An 18,146-nucleotide genomic window follows, 5' to 3' on the forward strand; every position below is an offset into this window, starting at 1 on the left:
TTCCTGGTGGTGCAATAATGGGCTTTTGCATGTACCTTGTGTGTTAGTATGGGGCATTTATATTGCATGGACACATATTATTTTATTATTGTTGGGTGATAGCCTAGAATGTAATTATTCTTGTTCTCAGGTAAAAATATGAAAAACTTAAAGCTTCTCATTATGCAGGCAAAAAATGTAAAAAACTAGTTCTCCCTGAAGGCTGGACTCCTATAGTGTGGATCTGGAGTTAGGTAAACATTGCTGAAGTCCATAAACTGCCCCATGTAGTGACTGTCTAGGGAGGTGCAGTGACAGGGATTGGAAAGAAAGATTTTACTTTGTGCTTCAAACAAGACACTTAATGTGGACAAAACAGTGAGACTTAGAGACAGTTCACAGAGTCTATTCACAGAGTTTACTGGGCCTGATAGGATTCAAATGTGGTCTTGAAGCTGGCAACAACAGTGAATGGTTATACAGTGATATAGATAGTCTCCAGTACTTGGTAATATGTTTGACTGTATATTAACAGGAAGGAAAAAAAGTTCCTGCATTTGTGATAAAATTAGGTGAATTTTGCAACGAGCTACACCATAACAAGACATTCAAAGTGGCTTAAGGAACCGAGCTTTATTGGAGCAAAGAGTGTGGACACTGTTTACAACAAAACGTTTCCGGGAAAACTTGGATTTCCCAAGACCCGAAGACTCCTCCAAGTTCTCACTGTTAGTAAGGTCAATTTGGGGGCAGAACAGGAACATGCCTTAGCTGCTGTCAGGAAATAGAAGAGCAGAGCAGAGTTGGGCATGGAGGCTCCAGCTCAGACTTGGGAAGATGGAGAAGAGCCATCCCAAGTCCAGAGTGAATAGGTTTCATAGCACCCATCTCCTCTATTTGAAGGAAGCAGGCCCCTAAAGGGAAACACAGGATGCCCAACTCATAAGAATCAGACTGTTATGAGAGTCCTTTGATATCATGTGAAAACCATGATGGGAGAGAGAGACTGAGGGTGCAGCCCACCTTCCTGGCCAGTGTTAAATCAGGAAACTATTTTGTTTAGATCAAAAAATGATATTCCATTTTTTGGTCTCCCAAGGTCATCCAAAGTTTACTGACATGCAGGGACCCCTGTGTGATCTAGTGGGAGTCCAGAGCTAGGGGAGTCCAGCTGGAGCAGAAGAGTCTGCAACTAGGAAGGGAACTCTTGTGTGTATGAGGGTTGGTAATAGGCTCTTTTTGTATCAAGAGGAAGGGAAGGAAGTCATATCCCAAGAGGGCACTTAACCTTAGTCCTAATTCTAGGAGAACTAAGAGGGGCTGGGGCAGAAAGTCAAAGGGTCGGGGTAGAAGGATTGGATGCCACAAAGCATTACTGGGGCTCATTTTCCCCTAAGCCACTTCTTGGAGGAAAAACTCCATGGAACACATTAGTAAGAAAGTATACAATTATTCCTGTTTTATGTGAAGATTGGAATAAAAAACAGTTTTGTTATTTAATATTACAACCGCTTTGTAGGAAGTGTGGATCCTGCTAAATGATCCACCTCCTGTATGATGACTCCCCTCATCCCTTTTTTTTCTGCTGGATCCCTAGGTGGCTTAGTTATGAAGATGGGTACTATGAACTGCTGATAGTCAAATCATCCTGACTAATTGAAGAATAATTTGAATTTTCTTTGGCAATCCAGGAGAGGAGAGATTTGTGCCAAGGAGATAGGATAAGTGAGCATTTGAGACTGGGTTAACTTGATTCAGGTTAACCTGAATCTTCAATAAACTCATTAATGCGGAGTTTTGTTTCTTTAGAGTAAAATGGCAGAGTTTCATGTCTAGGCCTGTGAGAGAGACATATAGTGTACAAGAATATAAAGGTCCACAGGTAGAGGAACTATGAAAATGGGAGCATCTTGCATTGACCTTTTATGTCTGAAGGATGTGGAGTTGAGTGATTCAAGCCAACCTTAATCTAGCTCTGAAAAGGAGGCTGATCCTTGGTGACACTGGGTTACGTAAGAACAATTTTGATGAAATGGTTAGGTCAGAAGCCAGATATAGGTCCACTGCGGAGTGAATCAGAAGTCAGAATATAGAAATGGGATTGGGTGAATAATTCTTCTAAATCATGAAAATTACATCAAATGCCATTGAGTTGGTGAAATATCCTTTGGGTCTTGCATGTATTACATTGTACTTAAAGTAACAGGATACAGCGGATACTGAAAAAAAGAAGAAGAGAAAAAAGGTTGGAACATTTTTAGAGCAACATTTGTGTTTTGGATTTCAAATTCTCACTTTGTAGAGCAGTAAACTAGATTTTTTTTCTCTTTAGGTGAAAAATGAGAAGATTAAATAAGCCATGGGAAGATTTTTTAAAATGACATGAAACTCCAAGGGTAAAAAGTAGGTAAGCAAGCTTATACTCGTGTGGGGAATGCCAGTTTCTGGGTTATGGCTGGTTTCTGTTTTTTGGGTCAAAGATAGGATTCAGAATTAGGAATCCTATGAATAATTCCTCTTCTCCCCCAAAGTAGAACAACAAATACAACAATGGCCTATTTGTGAACTACCTTCTTATGTTTTTAAACTTGAGCTACAATTTTATAAGCTGACTTCCATTAATATGTCATGTAAAAAAAAAATCCATATTGGAAATACAATGCTAATGGCAAAAGTAACGGTAGGTGAACACTTAAATACTTTCAGGATTATGTATTTTATTAGCTAGAAATAAAACAAAATGCAGAGGGGAAGGAGATGCTTTACAAATTCCTGAAAGCCTCTTCAATTATCAGTATACAGCTTCTGCAGCAGGGACGACCCTTCTTCTACTCCCAAGCCAATACACCCTTTCTCTTGGTCTCAAACACACAGACATAAAATTTATGTGGGCAGTTTACCATTTTCCAGTTTTCATTAATTCAACTGCTTCATTGATTTTATCAAGATTCAGAGTATGAGTAATTAGTGGATCTAGATTCAACTTCTCTGCCATATAATCAGCAACCAGTTTAGGGATGTGCTGTCTGCTCTTCCAGCCTGGAAATACAGATTAATGATGAATTTTACACATGAGGCTTCATTATAAAGGAAAGGTCATTCAAAGTAACTGCTGAAGTTGTTGGCTTTGACTGAGAAAATCTAAGCCTGTCCCGTTTACTTGCCTCAATCATCAGGAGAATGCCTACCCCAACCACACACATTATATAGAGGGCTGTGTTCCTAAAGGAGACTTCTGGTACTACAGAGGAGAATTAATTCAAAGCAGATAGAATGTGGACCTTGCCTTGAGTGTTCCTGGTGTCATGTTGCAATCTCTGGGGAGCAGTGAATCTATATCTAATGTATAACAAAGGCCAAGGTCTTGGGAATCATGGAAAGAAGCAATTCAAATGTTAAATATAGCACATTTTTTTGTGTGTGCATTCCCTCATGTGTATGTTTTGATCTGCCACTTCATAAAAGAGTCAAATAGCTTAAAGGAAAAGAAGAACTCTCACTGTGGCAGCAGTCCCAGTGAAAGCTCTTGGGAAAAGAATGTGTACAAAGCAATATAAGAATAAAATGTGCTTTCTGGAAGTAAGAATTGAACAAGCAAAGATGGAGTTAGCTAAGGTAAGATGTAGTTTAGCATTGTATTTTCTCTATTCCCGTGATTTTCAAGAAACACATTAAATTTAGCACTGTGCTAAGTGCCACGCTCAGTGAGTTACCACACAGACTTTGGCAGTCTGCTCATTGCTAGAAAGGGTGGGTGTGGTGTAATTGTGCAAAGTATAATGTGGCGTAATCTGCTTAGTGTTCTATGCGGATTATTCTGTGATAGGATCTTGACAATTACTTGCTTTTCTTGGTTCTAGCTTAGGTTAGGCTCCCCAACTTCTTCTCCAAACTACCACAAACTCTTCTAATAGATTTATTTTTAATTTAAGTTTGTTTCTGTTATGTGTAACCAAGAATACTAATTACTGTTCTATGTCATGACATGAAGGGCCAGTGTATATTTCTATTTGTTTTTATATTTTGATTGGTGATCTGATAAAACATTTTTACATCTATGTCAACCCTCCACTTTTTTTCTTATTTCAACCAAATGACATAGGAAAGAAAATTCTAGGACCACAGACGGGACTAGGCAGTGTTTCTCAACAAGGGCACTACTGGCATTTTGGGTGGGGAACATTCTTTCTTTTGCACATTGTGGGAGGTTTAGCAGGACTGTCCAACACCTGTTAAATGCTATTGTTGATTGAAAATCATTGAACCAGAGGACTATACTATTTGTGGAATAAACTAATTTACATTAATGATCACTATATGAGTGCTAGAGTGGCCAGTGAATTAGTTTCATTCACTGAGGGTTTTAAGAATATTGGTAATCTTATTTTTATAAGACTTAGCTGAGTATGTGTATTTTGAATTAACATTATCATCTATAAATACAATAGAGAGAAATGGCAATGGATGTATTCAATGATCTTAAATAGAAGAACTGAAATTACAGTTCTTCTATTTAATAGATTATATATATAACTGGATTATTACTTTTTTTTTTTTGCTGGTCCTGCCATGTATCTACTCTTTATAAATGAATTAGGTAAGGCTTCTAATATCTGTAATAACATGCTGCCATAGCTTACTTGGGGACTACAGACAGCTCACTTGTGCAAGTAATTCAGGCACTCCTCTAATTCTCATCTCTTTTTGCCCAGGCATTCAGATTGCCCAGAGTTTCTGGATAAATACATTTCTTCGTAAATTTCAGATTTCTTGCTTATGAGCCCAGAATCTTAAGCAGATTTATTTAATTTAGTTTGTCTTCTACTTTTTCAATAAAATAGTCTTCTAAAGTCTATAAAAATGTTCCAGGACAGGTAAAAAACAGAAAATCAAAGGATTCTATAAGATATTTTTCCTCTGGGTAAAATAATTCTTATTTTTTTTAATCAATAGTATTTCTTTTAAATCAAGAATCCATTGTGTTTAATATATTTGAGTTGGTAGCGTGACAACTCATTTGTTTGGGATAAGATTTTACATGAGTTGAACAATGACAACTAATGGCTAAGTATATTCTCCAAAGAATCCCAGCTGGCAGGTGTATAATTTCGCTGAAGTGTAGTTATAGATTACAATATTGCCTTCTTTTCAATTTAGAGTTTGCTTTAAATGTTGGACACTGGATTCTTTACCAATCAATTAAGAAACCTCTTCTCTATCTTTGCATGAGAAAAAGCTTTCCAAGAGGCACTAGATACACCCACTATCCATCCCTTTATATTGGGTATTCATATGTTGAAAAAAAAAATCTGTAATATAAAGCTGTTGTTTTATGTCCTTTCTTAAGCGTTTATGGTACATTTTTCTATTTCCCACCTTCACCTCCTCAGGCATTTCCACCTTTCCCTGCTTCATCCATACCTCCAAAAACAGAACCCTTCAAAGAACGTCCTGAGAAGAACAACTGGCCACTGATTTTGAGTTGAACACTGGCAGGCAACACCCCAACAACCACACAGACCCCATAGCTCTCATTGCAGGAGGCGAGGGCAGCTGCCTGTTAGAAAGTGATGCAATACAGTATAGGGGTTAAAAGATGTATGTGAGGATTGAGCCTACATCTTAATTTCAGCTTAACTCCTAAATGGTCTATGACTTTCTTTTCTGATTCTCCCTATTCTCATTTGAAGTAACATTTATCTTGTAAGGATGCTATGAAACACATATAAGACGTTGTATGTTGCTTAGTATAGTACCTGGCACTTTAGGACTCAATAAATGGAAATAACAAAAATGAAAATAGTAAAAACATCCACAGTAGTGATAATAATAAAAATAATTTTTATAAAAATTATTACTGATGCAGGTGGCTGGTAAGAATTGACATTTTTCTTTTAGACATCTAAGAAGACAGATATTTATATAATAAGATGATAGCAAAGTGAGAAACAGATACCGTTACATTCGTTATGTTCAAAGGCTATTTCTCAGAGTAAGAGTGTGAGAAAGGTTTTGCTGTTTCTTCTTACAGATAAAGGAATTTATGTATGGTGAATCATGAAAAGATTTTTTATGCTGGGAAAAGGGCCCAAGTTGGAAGAGGCAGTTGTTGAGTTTCCATACAGCTGACTAGACGATAGAGCCATGCAACCTAATAATACATTATTTCTTCAAATCCCCAAAGAAAACAAGCCTTAGATTTTTAAGTAACTTCCCCTCACTTTCTATTCTTTTATATAAACCACGTTTAGCCAGAAAAACCACCACTTTTTTTCCCCTTCATTTTTGAAATGAACCCGTTTAATCGTGACTAGTAAATATTTTTCTTGGAAACTTATCTCAGATCTGACATGAAAGACGACTGAAAGTGAAAAGCACATTGATTTATAAGGTCATTAATCAAATTTTAATCTTATCTTGCTTAAAACTTCTGGCTTTGAAATTATATGAAAGTTCTAGATTTAGTATCTGGGATAGTGAACAAATTTGTAAGAGTACACAGACGGCACCAGCTGAGATGTCATGGAACACAAGGAAAATTAAATAGAGCAAAGTGGAGGGAATTTTAGAAAGCTCATTCAACTATAATCTAAACGATGACTGGTAAAAGTATTGGTAATTTTCACTCCAGAGGATTACATACCAGAACGTCCAGATTTCCAATGGCCTCAAAGCAGAAGTCTATACCAGCATCTGTCATATCAAATAAAACTTCTTGAATGGGTTTCTTTAAGTCCTGAGGGTTGAGGCACTCAGTAGCACCCAATTCCTGTGCCTTCTTAAATTTCTCCTTGTTGACATCCACTCCAATGATCCTGGCTGCTCCTGCTGCTTTACAACCCATGACAACAGACAAGCCGACTCCTCCCAGGCCAAACACAGCACAGGTAGAACCTGGAGTCACCTAAACACATACAGGCAGAAAACTCAGAAAACAAAAAGCAAAGAGAACATACACCTTTACTCAGTTGGGAAGGCTAAGTCTATATGCATGTATTTTTTAACGAGTCATAAGCAAATGATGTTTACATACATAACATATTATAACTACAAAGTTTTGATTTTTCAAAAATATTTCTAGATATGGAATACTCTTGGCACAGGAACAAAAAACTGCCTGAAAGTAGAGTTTCAAGTCCCAGGAATTAGTCTGAGTAGTAGTTTAAATGAATTTGCATTGAATATTAAGACTTACTTGACAGTGTATTTAATTCCAGATATTTTTGAGTTCTTTAAAATTATCTCTATCTTCCTACAACCATTTCTCTCTGTCTCTCTCTCTCTCTCTCGGTATCTGTAAATTTTTCATAACTTATCGGGTCAATACCTTGTGAAGGCAAAGGCTTTTTTTTTATTGAGTACTGTCCTACATAGGACTAATTTAAATAATTTTTTTCCATTCTATCTCTCTGTATAGTATTGGGACTGATGGACACTGGAAAATGCAAAGTTCTAAAATTCAACAGCACCTTTAGGAAGGGAGCCGGGAAGGTTTGAGTGATGTTTTAGAAATAAGAGTTCAATAGCAGCCCATTCAGCCAGAGTGGGATCCCCTGGTCAATCTGTCTAATGTAGTAACACCTACTTCATCACTTGGTTCCTTTACTCTCCTTTTCTTTTTATTAGCATTTATCACTACCTAATATATCATGCAATATAATATTAGCTTCATGAGTTTTGTTAGCTGCTGAATTCTAGCACCTGGGACAGTGAATGGCTCCGAAAATATTTGTCTAAGGAAAGAAAGGATAAACTGGAATATGAAAGGCCACAGAGTCATGTTGTAACTATGTTAGATTTAATTTCCAGTAATTCCTGATCTTTCCACTTGTGAATGGCATCCAGACTTAATCTGTCTTTTACTACTCACCAAGAGGGAATGGGAAAAATGTTGAAGGGGGTGTGGGATGACTAGGTAGATAGCAGAGAACTCAAGGATGTTTGGAGTCAGGCTTGGGATTTTTCCTTTGGTATGATAAGAGATGACAAAGATGCAAGAGGCCTTTCAACTCCATATCCCAATAATTCCCTTCCAAATGGGTATAAATGCCCCTCACCTTGGCAGTATTGATTGCAGCACCAAACCCAGTGGAAAAGCCACAGCTAATTAGGCATACTTTCTCTAGAGGAGCGACTGCATCAATCTTGGCAACTGAGATTTCCTTTATCACTGTGTATTCACAGAAGGTGCTGGTATTACCAAAGTGATATATTGATTTTCCCTTGCAGGTAAACCTGCTGGTACCATCAGACATCAGTTGGGTTTTTGACTGTCTTTTATAGACAAAACAAAAAACAAAACACAAAGTTTATTTTGAATTAGAAAGCTTAGATCTTCTCCAATGAAAGTGAATTAAGTTTTCAAAAAGAAAATATTAGTAAAAACTTACTTGAATTGTATACAAAAATTGCCCTCAGAATTCAGGCAAGAGGTACATTCTCCACACTGTGGCAGAAAGAGTGTGATAACTTTGTCACCTAAAAGAGCAAAATCATGTCTTATTAACATATTATTTTTTAAAGTAAAGACATAGCTGTCTTTCAGGATTTTGACAGCAAGGCACCCAAGAAGAAATGACAGCTGAAAATTATTTCCACATTCAGTTGTGCTTGATACCACAAAGAATATCAAATACTTACAAAAAGAGAGAATGTCTTTAGCATCTGGGCCCAGCCCTGGGCTCAGTGGCTGAATCTTGAGGAACTGGCCCCAGATTTGCCTCTTTTGTAAGCTCCTTTTCAAGTATGAAATAGTTTTTTGTCATATATCCATTCAGTCAAGTCTTATCTCTTCTCAACATTTTCAACACTAATTTCCTCTCTCAGGGATTGAATTTAAAATAGTATGGATACCACATACTAACAGAGTAAGCTCTGGATTAGGGAGAAAAAAAATTGCTTCTATGCTGTTCTCTGTGTTTGACATCAACCCTTTCTTCTTGACCTTAGAGATCAAAGGTAGGCAGATTTCTCTAGTAGTGGTCAAAGTATCAGGACATGATTAGAAGAGCTTGCCTGTGATGTATTTTACTGGCTGCCCCCATGGTCTAACACTGTAAACCAGAGAAATTTGTTTTATACTTTTAGTTAAAAACCTTATGAAGATTTAGTTTCTTCTATTTTATTTATTTTTATTTTTTTAAAAAGTAACACATACATATGGTAAAAATTTAAACTGCACAAAAGTGAAAATTATTACTCTATTCCCCAGTTCCCCATCTTAGAGACAGGTACTCTGACCAGTAACCACGATATTTTTCAGCACTGTAACCCCTTTAAAAATGCAAAGGTAAGCATGCTATCTACCCTGGTTTGGGCCTAGCTTTTTTACTTAACACTGTATCATGGAGCTTTCTATTTTAGTACATATAGTGCTCCATCATTAACCAGTGCCATGAACACTGATAGATATTTAGGTTGTTCTTTGTTTCTCTACACCCCAACACTAAAACCAGTAATGCAATGAGTATCTTATTGTAGACAGAGTTCTAAAATGCCCTCCGAAAGATATCCTGCACAAATCCCTAGAAACTGTGACTATGTTGTGGTGTCATGCCTGTGAGTATGTTATGCTACATGGCAAGGGGTACTCTGTAGATGTAACTAAGTTCACTAATCAGTTGTCATTAAGATAGGGAGATTATACTGAATTATCCAGGTGGACCCAAGGTAATCACATGAGCCATCAAAAGAAGAAGAGCAGATGAAGGCAGAAGAGGAAGTAAAAGTGACTTAACACCTGTGGAAGGATTTAGTGGGCCATGGCTGCTTCGAGGCTGGAAGGTGCCACAGAAGAAGAAATGTGAGCAATTTCAGGGAGCCGACCACTGGTGAGGAAATAAGGATCTCAGTCCTATAGCCTCAAGGAATTGGATTCTGAAAACTACTTGAATGAACTTGGAAGTGGATTTTTCTCCAGAGGCTCCAGATAAGGACCCAGCTGGCTACTCGCTTGATTTTGACCTTGAAACGTGAGCAGAAAACTCAGCCAAGCCCACTCAGATTTCTGACCTATAGAAACTGAGATAATAAACTTGTGTTGTTTTAAACTGTTATATTTGTGGTGATTTTTTCCAGCAGCAATAGAAAATGAGTACATGAACATATATCTATGGAATAAGTTTCTAGAATTGAAACTGTTGTGTCCAAGAATATATAAATTTAAATGATATTACATATTGCTGCATTTAGAGTCGAGCAAATCTACGTTCCAAACAATAAGATATGAGGGAGCTGTCTGCCTATATTCTTGTGAACTCTATATATTATCAAACTTCTTAATCTTTGCCGATCTGCTAGGGAAAAAGTGTTTTTTCATTGCATTTTAAAATTTTATCGTAAATTGACAAATTATATATTTATGGGGTACAATGTGATATTATGTGTATATAATATGGGATGATTAAATCAAAGTAATTAACATGTTAAACACTTGAAGACTTATATTTTGTGGTAAGAACATTTGAAATGTATACTCTTAGCAATTTTGAAATATAGTATAATTCATTATTATCAACTGTGATCACCATGCTGTTCAATAGATCTCAAAAAACTTATTTTTCCTATCTAGCAGAAATTTTATACCATTTGACCACATCTCTCCATTTTTCCCACCCCCAGCCTTTTAAAATGTTTTTTATTTTTAATATGTCTGAGGTTGGGCATATTTTAATGTGTTTAAAGCATTCATATATATATATACACACACATATATGTGTATATATATATTTCTTTAAATTAGACATGTATTTTGTTTGCCTTTTTTTATTTAAAAATTGCTTTTAAAGAAATTATTTCTATATTAAGAAAATTGGTCCATTGTCATACTGGGTTTTGACTTTTGGGGTTTTTTTTAAACATGCAGAATCTATGTAATTTTTACATTGTCAAATTTATCTATATAAATATCTATTTTATATCTGCTGGGTATTTTTTTGTATTGATTAAAATTTCCTTCCCTCCTCCAAGATAATACAGTGTTCTCCCATGTTATTTTATAGTACTTCTATGGTTTTGCTTTTCACATTTAATTTTTAGATGCATGTATAATTTTTTTATATAAAGAATGAGATGGCAACCCAATTTACTTTTTTAGCCCGGATAACTATCTAGTTGTTTCAACACAATTTGTGGAATAATCTGTTTCTATTCTTAAGTTTGAAAGACAAACCTCATGCTGCATTAACTTCTTATGTTTATTTGGATTCAATTCTGGACTGCTTCTTTATTTGGTTCCACTAATGTGTTTGATTATTTATCATATGCCTCATTTAAATAATTGTTCAATAGTTTACCTCAGTCAACCTTTTTTTCATAAATTTTTGTCTCATTTGTACTTTCAAGTCCAGTTTCAGTGCATTCTACTTCTTGTTTTTTCTTATTTTCAAAATGTAAATGCAAAGAATACAATATATTTAGTATTTTATGTAACTTACAAGTAATTTATCCCTACTTTTCTAAGAAGTTGGAAACATTTCACCTTTCATTTCACTTGATCCTGACATACTTAAGGGGTGCTTATCATTTTCTCGAGTTGGTTCCAAGTTGTTGCTGTTTCCTATTACCAGGTGCTAATTCCTACCTGGTTTCACTGTGCTTACTCCTTCTCCAATACTCTCAACGATTCCAGCCCCTTCATGGCCCAAGATGGTGGGATACAAGAGGTCCAAGTGTTTACTCCCCAACACTTTCATCTCTGTACCACACAGTCCGGTGGCCACAACCTGTATGGAAGGCAAAGGGTACTGCAGTTCCCGCTGTTTCAGATAATGGTGTTTTAGAGTTGTTGACTGTAAGGCTTTTTGCTAGTTTGATATTCTCCATTTATACACTGCATTCATTTCTTATCAGTTTTAATTCTAGGGAAGGGTCAATAATAATTTGTTAAAGCAATGAAATGTTTTTCATTAGCTGATTTCAGAATCAAGATGATTGAAAATTTACTGGGGAGTGTGGGTAGAATGGGGTCAGAAGAGAAGCTGTAAAATTGCAGTGTGACTTGATGTCTGAGGTCTCAATTGGCTTCATTGATCTTGTAGATGGAAGTGTGGAGGAGAAAGAACGACTATAAAAATAAAGGAATTGAGCTGAGTGCAGTGGCTTATGCTTAAAATCCCAGCATCTCAGGAGGCTGAGGCAGGAGAGTCACTCAAGGGCAGGAGTTTGAGATCAGCCTGGGCAAAATAGTGAGACCTCCATCTCTACAATAAATAAACAAATTAGCCAGGCATGGTTGCATGCACCTGTAGTCCAAGCTGCTTGGGAGGCTGAAGTGGGAGGATCACTTGAGCCCAGTAGTTCGAGGCTGCAGTGAGCTATGATTTTGTACCACTGCACTCCAGTCTGGGTGACAGAGTGAGACCCTGTCTCTAAAATGAAATGAAATAAAGAAATTGGAACACAGGAGGCAAAGGAATAATGTTTCCTATTATAATTTAATTAAAACCTTAATTTATTTTACAAGTGAGCTTTATAGTTTTGTTATTTGTACAAGTCATAATCCCACTTTATTGTAAGTTAGCCAGACAGTTTAAAATGAAGACACTCCAGAACAGTGGTTAAGTGTTCAGGGATGAAATACTGGCTCTCCCCCTTCTCAGCTGTGTGAACTTGGGGGTAAATTTTTCTTTCTGGGTCTCAGTTTCTTCATTTCTAAAACAAATATGAAGTTTGCATACACATAGCCACACATTCACATGCACATACTCCTTAGTCAAGAAATGAAATATATTGAAATTTGTGCATGTAAAAGGAGGATTATTGGAACAATACCATAAAATTGCCTGAATTGCCTGCAACCCAACTGTAGAAAGTGCTGTCAGACCTCATAGACCTAGACATTTACCAAATAGTCATTCTCTTTATCTCTTTACTTTGATTCAATATGGGCATAGTTGCATTCACCTATTATTCTCTGCAGATTGGCTTTCTCCATTTATTTTGCTGATCGTGGTTAAAAACAGTTAACCAGTGATGAGTCTGCCCAACCTCACCATTGCCTACCATCACTTACTCTGCTATAGTGCCCATATCTTGGTTCAAATTCACTGGTGAGACATTCAGATGTGTAGCTTGTCTGATAATGGTTGAATGTCTTTGAGTGAGGGTCCAAACCTGGTTGCATGAGTTGTGACCCTGTGGGTGGGGAGTGGATGCGAACAACCCAATAGCCCACTGCTTACTCCATAGGGGATGTAGGATGGAGAAGGCTCTCTGAGAAGAAGGCATGAACTGTGCAGATGAGATGACTTAGAAAATGACTGTCTCTTTGTAATCTATCATTAAACTGTACTTATTCTTTATTGTTATAATTAAAATAATAACAAAGGACTCTGAACTGCAAGTCAGGTAAACTATTTTCTAGTTTGGAGGAGGCCTATAGAACCATCTGAAGGCAATTTAAAAACTTTCCATGTCCAGGCTGCACCCCAGACTAATTAAATCACAATTGCAGAATTTCTGGAGATGGGACTTGGTTATCAGCATTTTTCAAAGCTTCCAGCTGATTCCAAATAGGTAACCAAGGTTGAGAAAAACTGTTCTCATCTCCTGCACTCAAGCAATCTTCCTGCCTCTGCCTCCCAGAGTGCTGGGATTACAGGGATGAGCTATCATGCTCAGCCGAGAAAAATTAGTCTTTATTTTTACTCTACTAGCTGTGTGACCAGTCACTAAACCGCAGCTGGCTTCAGTCTTCGCATCTGTAAAATATCAGGTATCCCTAAGGCCCTTCCAGCTCTAACTTGAGTTTCCAGATTCAGAGATGATTTGTCTGTAATCAATTTTTATTCAAAATATTTCAAGACAAGTATTATGAAGGATGCCATAAAAATTTACAAGTACAGATTAAAATAGGGTTTGAAGGTAGAATTTTTTTAAATTAATAATTAGTACAATAGCTGTAAATAAGCCTGAGTTTTATCCTTTGGGCAGTTAGCCTATGCTTTACCTCCCTAACCTTTTATCTGGCTGGATTTAAAAATTGATGGAAATGTTTAATGAAAAAGAAATACAAAGATATGTAGTTTTATTATTTTTTTTTCTGAGTTGAATATCCGGATAAGAATATGTAACTTACAGTAAGAAGCTCTGGCTTTTGGCTTTTGGTGTGATTTTTTTTTTTTTTTTTTTTTTTACCTTTATGCGAACTTCCTTTGCCTTTGGTGGGGCCACTTCTACCTCTTCAATAGAAAATGGTGCACCAGGCTTCCAGAGTATGGCTGCTTTGCATCTGATGACCTGGGAAATAGAATACAGGGGCAGAAAGAGAAGCTCCTTAAGCTTGGGAGTTGGAAGATTGCTATATTAGTGATTATAGAATCATTAAATTGGATTAGTCCAACTTTCCGCACTGCAGAAAAAAAAAAGAATAAATATATGCTGAAGGTAGTCTTTCTGACCCCAATTTAAGTTTTCTTGTACTATCAGCCTCTGTATTCAAATTAGTTTTGAAAATACCAACTATATTTACAAAATGTAACATGACCAAGAGGATAGATGTCATACTTTTAAAGATTTTAATTAAAAAAATTGTGCCTATTGGCCAGGCACGGTGGCTCACGCCTGTAATTCCAGCACTTTGGGAGGTCGAGGCGGGCGGATCACAAGGTCGGGAGTTTGAGACCAGCCTGACCAACATGGTGAAACCCTATCTCTACTAAAAATACAAAAATTAGCCAGGTGTGGTGGCCTGCACCTGTAATCCCAGCTACTCAGGAGGCTGAGGCAGGAGAATCGCTTGAACCTGGGAGACGGAAGTTGCAATGAGCTGAGATCATGCCACTGTACTCCAGTCTGTCAACAGAGCGAGACTCCATCTCAAAAAAAAAAAATTGTGCCTATTTATGGGGTACATGAAAAATTTTGTTAAATGTATATAATGTGTAGTGACCAAGTAAGGGTATTCAGGGTGTCCATTATCTGAGTATAATACATTTTTGTTGAGCATAGTGACCCTACTCTGGTATCAAACATTGAATTTATTCCTTCTATCTTATTGTATGTTTGTACTTTATTTTGTTTTTGTTTTTGAGATGGAGTCTCACTCTGTTGCCCAGGCTGGAGTGCAGTAGCACGATCTCGGCTCACTGCAAGCTCCGCCTTCCGGGTTCATGCCATTCTCCTGCCTCAGCCTCCTGAGTAGCTGGGACTACAGGCGCCCACCACCACGCCTGGCTAATTTTTTTGTATTTTTAGTAGAGACGGGGTTTCACTGTGTTAGCCAGGATGTTCTTGATCTCCTGACCTCGTGATCCGCCCACCTTGGCCTCCCAAAGTGCTGGGATTACAGGCGTGAGCCACCACGCCCGGCCATGTTTGTACCTTTTCACCCACTTCTCATCATCCTCTCCACTCACCCTTCCCAGTCTCTGTTATCTATTTTCCCACTCTCTACCTCCATGTGTTCAAATTTTTAGCTCCCACGTATGCGTAAGAACATGTGATATTTGTCTTTTTGTGCCTGGCTTATTTCACTTAAGATAATGATCTTCAGTTCTATCCCTGTTGCTGCAGATGACAGGATCTCATTCTTTTTTACGGCTGAATAGTACTCCATTGTGTATATGTACCGCATTTTGTTTATCCATTCATCTGTTGATGGATACTTAACGTTGATTCTATATCTTTGCTATTGTTAATAGTGCTGCAATAAACAGGCAAGTTCAGGTATACCTTTAATATACTATTTTCCTGTGGGTAGGTACCCAGTAGTGGGATTGCAGGTGTCATACTTTTTATATTACTATGAATAAAGTGGCCTGGTGGCTGTTTCAGGGTAGGAATGGCATTACAGTGTGGGAGTTATTTGTGATCCTAAGCATGGGAAAAATCAGTTTTGGGGTGGAAGGGTGAGTTATGGAGCAACGAATGGAGGCAATCATCAAATGGTGTCTCTTGGCAGATTGAGGTTGGAGAAGTTGTTGGTGGCAAGGTAGTTCTTAAAGGTTCTGATTTCAGGCCACCACTGTTGTCACTATAAATTCTCTTTCTGTGTGGTCTTATCTATTTTTGCAGATTCAACCACTACCTTTATGTGAGTAAACTATATTTATGGGACATATTTCTCCCTAAGTTATAGGCTAATGTATTCATTTGCTGTTTGAAGGTACTGGAGGTATCTCAAACTCAACATGTTAAAACATGAACATATCATTATTTCTTCTTCCCATCTCCACCTTCCACCACGCTCTAGTGGACAAAACACTCAATATATTCCTCCCTCTGCTACCTCTATTCAACTAGCAGCCATGCGATGTGTTCACTCACCCAAGTAGAAACCTGGGAAGTAGCCTCAATTTTTCTGTCCCTCAATCTTCACAGTCTAAATTTTTCTAGGATATGTGTCTTTTCTCCACTGCTGCTAGTACTAAAAAAGCTTTCTGCTTTATCTCTTTCTTGCTTTTACCACCTTCGAAATCACCTTTATACCATTGCCATTTGAAATATAATCCTAATCACACCAATCTCCTATCTAAAAATGATGTTGTTACCATTTGCTTACCTGGATCCGCTGACATCAGGATTTTCTCTCTGTCAGTCTCTCCAACCTTATTTCCTGTCACTTTGTGTTTCAGGCTTTACCTTTCAGCCCCCAAACATATTCTGAAGCTTCTTGCATGGGATATTTTCTCAGTCTCTGTATTACTCCTTATGTTGTTTTATCTGCCTGCACACACTTCTCCTTTACCTGGTGAATTCATATTTCTCCAGTGATTTCCCCTTCGGTATCACCTCTGGGAAGCCAAGCTGGGTTATGAGCTTTTCCTTGAGGCTCCCATTCTCTTTCTACTTTACTATCCTTGTATATTGCTTTATAATTGCTCTTTTATAATTATTGTCTCTCTGTGAGATCCTTGGAGAAGGGGATATATCTTTGACTCTGGAAATTCTGATAAAGGGCTTGGACATTACTTATTGAAGAGATGAAAGAACTGAGGGAAGTCAAAAGGGAATTAAGGAAAAAGGAGAGGAGGAGGAGAGATACTATGATTATGACAGCCTCTCACCTTTAGGAGCCCAGAGACTAGCTGGGTGATGAGATGTTGGTAAAGAGATGAGCACACAAACTGACAAAGATATGACACAACATAAAGAATAAGACTGCACCTACTTGGCCTGTAGTACTCATGCTGATTTTCTCCACCGCAGATGAATTTATTGAGAAAGGGAGATCCTGTAGCAACTTTCACTGTAGAAAGTACAAAGGTACACAGGCGACTGGTAGATCAGAAGGCTGGGTCCTGAGCTTTCTCTGTAGTCTGGTAATTATTAAACAGGAAAAGTAGGCTCTCCCGCTGCTTGATGGAAGTTCCTAAGTGTAATCTGAAATAGGCTCATCTCAGTGAAAGAGCACAAAAGGTGAAAATGCAAACTATTTTTTTCTCCCTTAATCAAACAGGTCCCCTCTTATTATCCATTTTTTTGAGTTTTAAATTTGGACTTTTAAATGTCCAAACTTAAAATTTCTAACAGAGTGTACAAAAGTATTTCTTTTCTGTTGTTTTCAAAATACAAAAATGGTCATATTTGTCTCTAAACTTGAGTAATTCTTTCAGGTTTCTGAATGTAGGCCCCTTGTTGACAGATAAGGATGGTGTCAGATTTTCTCTAGTAGTTTATCAAGAGCTCCTCACTCTTTGGTTTGCAGAGCTGGTTACTCAGAGGAAGTGAAACTAATTTGCATACAGGGCCTACCAACTTGGATTTGGACCCTAGAAAATCTCCGTGTGTGGACCTGGGTCTTGACCCAAGGCCCAAGGATCTTGATGAAGAATGGAGATAAAATACATTTCCAATAAAAGGCAACACCAGTGGGCAGGGTTTAGCTAGAAGACAAGAGAGAATAAGTAAATGCTTGTTCTGTGTCAAATGATACAATCATATGATTTTTCATTTTTAGCATGTTGATATGGTAGATTACATTGATTAATTTTCAAATGTTGAACCAGCCTTGCATACCTGGAAAAAAATCACACTTGATGTATAATTCTTTTTTATATATCAGTCACTGGATTCACTTTGCTAACATTCTGTTAAAGATTTTTGTGTCTATATTCATGAGAGTTATTAATGTTAGTTTTCTTCTTTTTTTGGCACCATCTTTGGTTTTGGTGTCACAGTAATATTAATTTTATAAAATGAACTTGGAAGTATTTTCACCTCTTCTA

General features: G+C 37.3%; 1 protein-coding gene and 1 long non-coding RNA gene across 4 annotated transcripts in view, besides 5 other annotated features; one reads left to right on the forward strand and one right to left on the reverse strand.

Moving 5' to 3' along the window:
* The window catches only part of LOC100507053 (uncharacterized), a 212,500-nt gene that overhangs the window by 113,189 nt on the left and 81,165 nt on the right, over window positions 1-18,146 (forward strand). Inside the window, exon 4 of the long non-coding RNA NR_037884.1 lies at window positions 2,312-2,386. This is a non-coding gene — a long non-coding RNA (uncharacterized LOC100507053). The remainder of the gene's footprint in view (window positions 1-2,311; window positions 2,387-18,146) is intronic.
* On the reverse strand, window positions 594-17,201 carry ADH6 (alcohol dehydrogenase 6 (class V)). Of its 3 annotated transcripts, NM_001102470.2 has the most exons (9): window positions 17,090-17,201; window positions 14,116-14,217; window positions 11,561-11,702; window positions 8,370-8,457; window positions 8,037-8,253; window positions 6,623-6,883; window positions 5,401-5,536; window positions 2,880-3,018; window positions 594-2,198 (listed from the first exon to the last, which is right to left on the reverse strand). In NM_001102470.2, the coding sequence occupies exons 1-9, from the start codon at window positions 17,105-17,107 to the stop codon at window positions 2,174-2,176; spliced, it is 1,128 nt and encodes a 375-aa protein (NP_001095940.1). In that variant the 5' UTR covers window positions 17,108-17,201; the 3' UTR covers window positions 594-2,173. The 3 variants fall into 3 exon arrangements, 2 of the variants coding, with proteins under 2 accessions (NP_001095940.1, NP_000663.1); NM_000672.4 differs by having other exon boundaries at window positions 594-3,018; NR_132990.2 differs by lacking the exons at window positions 8,037-8,253; window positions 11,561-11,702.
* Window positions 3,021-3,522: an enhancer, noted in NCBI's record as "NANOG hESC enhancer chr4:100126223-100126724 (GRCh37/hg19 assembly coordinates)". NCBI's record gives its function as "activates a minimal SCP1, AML or CMV promoter by ChIP-STARR-seq in primed H9 embryonic stem cells {active_cell/tissue: H9 hESC(primed)}" and the evidence as "EXISTENCE:reporter gene assay evidence [ECO:0000049][PMID:30033119]".
* Window positions 17,145-17,543: a promoter, noted in NCBI's record as "-342/+57 promoter". NCBI's record gives the evidence for it as "EXISTENCE:reporter gene assay evidence [ECO:0000049][PMID:10975466]".
* Window positions 17,234-17,263: a protein binding site, noted in NCBI's record as "C/EBP footprint C". NCBI's record gives the evidence for it as "EXISTENCE:protein binding evidence [ECO:0000024][PMID:10975466]".
* Window positions 17,294-17,310: a protein binding site, noted in NCBI's record as "C/EBP footpring D". NCBI's record gives the evidence for it as "EXISTENCE:protein binding evidence [ECO:0000024][PMID:10975466]".
* Window positions 17,320-17,327: a protein binding site, noted in NCBI's record as "C/EBP footprint E". NCBI's record gives the evidence for it as "EXISTENCE:protein binding evidence [ECO:0000024][PMID:10975466]".

Source organism: Homo sapiens, chromosome 4 (assembly GCF_000001405.40).
Source record: "Homo sapiens chromosome 4, GRCh38.p14 Primary Assembly".
In the NCBI taxonomy this organism is placed as follows: Eukaryota; Metazoa; Chordata; class Mammalia; order Primates; family Hominidae; genus Homo; species Homo sapiens.